We start from the raw sequence: 4,254 nt of genomic DNA, 5'->3' as shown, positions 1-4,254 counted from the left end.
TTGCCTTGAGGAATAAGAATATTTCTTAGTTTCACTATATGAGAGGTATGTAATAGGTTTTTAATAGAATGTACATGCAAATATTTTAAAAATTTGGCACATTGGAAACCATGTAGAACCAAACTCCTGGGGGAAAATGTGCTGCTTTGAAATATAATGGTAATATTCTTCAAAAACATTTCATCTTTGACCCTCAGGAAGATACAAGTAAATTGAGAAAGAGATTTTTTTTAATTTAAAGCCATATATTTTGTAAAATACAGAATTTCAAAAAATATGCTATAAGATCATGAGAAATAGGGTGTCCTATGCAGCATCCTCTGCAAGGGAAGCCAGTATATAAGAAGATAGTTACATTAATAACTTCTTTTTTCAATTTTTTAAAGGAAAGAAATTCTGTTAGCACATATATATTATCTCAATTCCTTCTGTATGTTCACATCTACTAGCAACAGAATTTTATTGTTAGAGCATAGCCATGAGCTAAACCTGAAAATAAGGTCAGGCATGGTGGCTCACGCCTGTAATCCCAGCGCTTTGGGAGGCTGAGGCAGGTGAATCATTTGAGATCAGGAGTTCAAGACCAGCCTGACCAACATTGTGAAACCCCATCTCTACTAAAAATACAAAAAAATTTAGCCAGGCGTGGTGGTGCGGGCCTGTAGTCCCAACTACTTGGGAGGCTGAGGCAGGAGAATTACTTGAAACTGGGAGGCAGAAGTTGCAGTGAGCCGAGATCATACCACTGCTCTCCAGCCTGGGCAACACAGCAAGACTCTGTCTCAAAAAAAAAAAAAAAAAGACAAAAAGAAAGAAAAGAAAAGAAAAATTTGTAATTAGAATTTACTATACAGGCTTTTCTTTATTTTCATATACAATATATTTCTTTAAAACAAAAATTTACTGTGAAAACATTTAGTAGATATTATAAGGATAAAACTTTTATTCCAAGAGCTAAAAACTACTATAAAAGTAAAATTATGTGTTATCTTTCCAAAACAATTTTTCTAATATATAGCCTCCATATTTCATACATCATCTCTAATTTTGATATTTTCCTTCATATATAAACTCAGTGTATGTAAACTTGAGCTTAGGTTCAATGAGTGTGAGTTTAATACTAACAACTCGACACATTAAGCCTTTAGCTAATAATTTCCAACTCTGTGTTATTTTAATTTTGTGAGACTAAGCATTTTAGCAATAATATAAGCACCTTAACTTTTATTATTCCTCATGTTTCTTAAAAAAATAAGAAAATAAAGTAAAATGTTCAGATAGTTGTGAACTTTGCTAGTACCAATAGTTAATATTCCTAGTATTAAAATTTTCTAAGAGTTTCTTTTATGTAAGGACTATATAAAACAACTTTATAGGCATTATTCCATTTAATACTGCAATACTATGAGATGCCACAATTATTCCATTTGAAACTGAAGCTTAGCAAGTTAAAGTCATTTGCATATGATTTCATAGCTAGTAAGCAAAGGAAACATTTAGTAAGATGGCGTGATGGCTGGTCACTTCTGTGTAATATTTTTAAAAATGTATTGTCTAGCTGATGTAGTGAAAATCTGAATTTAGTATAGATAAGACAGTATAAAGATGCTTATGTTGATTGTATCAATGTTGATTATAAGAATGTTGAATTATGAGAGTTGAGAGCTGCATATTTTCTTACATAACTATAACATGTTACTTTATAGTGAGATATGTATTCTCAGTCTGAATATTAGCTCTGGCAGAATTTAACATAATAATTCAGATCCCAAATTTTAGAGTTTATTTGTCTCACCCATTTGTTCATGACCTGAATCTTCTAGGCAAACAAAGTGTATATTGAGATTATTAGTGAGGTTAAATGGAGAAAAATCTGTGATAAGAAACGGAGATTTTGCCTTAGATATTCCAAATCTACTCCCTCATCTAAAATATATTCTGTCGTGTTGTGTTGTTTTATATATAAATAATACATACAAAGCATCAAAGTCATGAAGTCAAGACTTGAATAATTTGGCTAAAAAGAGTGTGCCTATATCATCTTGGCATGTACATGCAATATTTATGTAAATCAAAATATTCTAACTGCTCAATAGTACATTTTTGAAACAATATTAACATTTTCAATATAATAGGTCAAACACTAACTTTTTATAAATTAGTTTTATTTTACCTCTAAATGGAGTGCTCTAAAAATAAGACAGAGAAACTGTCCAAACCAAATTTAAATATAGTGTCTAATTAAGGGTAGAAATTTGAGTGCCTTTATTTAAAATTCATATAGATTTATGCATGATTTGCCAAATATGTGCTCACCTTCAAAATATTCTGATGTATATATGTGTAGTATAATGTAAATAATTGTTAGTATTTTTTTACTTGAATTTGATATTTCAATCAAATACCCATATACAAAGCTCAGGTATTGATTTATACTGTCTATAACCTAGTCTCTGACTGCAGTGGGCTCAAATATCTCTCCTTGGCCTTTTAAAATTGATATATGTCACATATATGTTTGTATAATGTTAAAACTCAACCTTTTTAGACCAAAAATTCCCCTTTTGTAACATACATTTTGTAATGAGCACTCTCATAGATAATATAACTTGTCTATATTCATCATTACCAAATATATATAAATATATATTAAACTTTTTAAACAATGAATACTAAAATAATTGGTATTTAGAGATATAAGTTATCAGGTAGCTACATTTGCAATACTGCACCTACTCTGGAAGGCATAATGAAGAAGTCAGATTCTTACACCTCTATATAGAATCACCATGAACTGGACAATAGCAGTAAATGCAGACTGATGAGAGGCAGTGTATTAGTTACTCAGATATCTACTATAAGCAGCACATATTCTCACTGATGGCATGATTTATCAAAGTGGAAAACACATCTTTGTAAAATTGAAAATAAAATAATATAAAATTTTTCCTCAGTATACATTGCAACTGTGATTCTGAAATATTCAGTGTATATTAAAGCTCTAAAAAAAAAAAGACTTTGTGTTGATATATAAAACCAAGTTAGGTTTTAGGCTCAAATAAGTGTAAAGGAGGTTCTCACCTATGTGAATGATGAATAGAATATTCAGAAATTGTGCAATGTAGGGTAAAATTACATGATTTATAAAACTGTCCTGCACATGGCTGGATACTCAACATCTTGATCCCACCCATCAAACAGCAGTAAAGTGTCACAGTCATTGTGACAGCCCAAAATACTTCCACATATTTGTTTTTTCTAAATTTTATTTTAAGTTAAGGGGTACACGTTCAGGTTTGTTACATAAGTAAACTTGTATCATGGGGGTTTGTTGTACAAATTATTTCACCACCCAGGTATTAAGCCTGGTACCCATTAGTTACTTTTCCTGATCATATCTCTCTTCCCACCCTCAACTCCCCAATAGGCCCCAGTGTGTGTTGTTTCCCTCTATGTGTCAATGTTTCTCATTATTTAACTCCCACTCATAAGTGAGAATATGAAGTATTTGGTTTTCTGTTCCTGTGTTAGTTTGCCAAAAGTAATGGCCTCCAGCTCCATTCATGTTCCTGCAAAGGACATGATCTCATCTTTTTTTGTGGCTTCATAGTATTCCATAGTGTGCATGTACCATATTTTCTTTATCCAATCTATTATTTCTAGGCATTTAGGTTGATTCCACATTTTTTGCTATTATAAATAGTGCTACAATGAACATATGTGTGCATGTGTCTTTATAATATAATGATTTCTATTCCTTTGGGTATATACCCAGGGCAAAGGACATGAACAGACACTTTTCAAAAGAAGACTTCCACAAATTTCTAAAACAATCTGCATAGGATCATAATGGCATTGTTGTGAGAACCAGTGGTCTAAAGTATCTTGCTTATCTGTGTGACCCAAATTCACTGAAAAACTGCCTAGACCATGTTTTTGATTGAGCTGTGAAGTTCTTGCAATGAATGTAATCAAGATTTTGAAAATAATCTCCCATATGTGCTTTACAGTTCATGATAATTTGTGTCTCAAGAAAGGGCATAAAAGCAAAGTTAAATTTTTGTGTTTAAGTATCCTTATTAGCTCTTATACAAGTGAGCCAAAAGTAAAGCATTAATTAAAAACAGCTTCTAGTGAGGCAGTTCCTTTTATATCTGAACCTTACTTTGAAATACATTTACTACCCTTTTTATCACCTGAAGGTACTATTCCAATCCACTTGCTTGCAATGTTCAATTGCATTTCATGGCACTT

Source organism: Homo sapiens, chromosome 14, assembly GCF_000001405.40.
Source record: "Homo sapiens chromosome 14, GRCh38.p14 Primary Assembly".
In the NCBI taxonomy this organism is placed as follows: domain Eukaryota; kingdom Metazoa; phylum Chordata; class Mammalia; order Primates; family Hominidae; genus Homo; species Homo sapiens.
Note: the sequence above shows the minus strand (reverse complement) of the source record.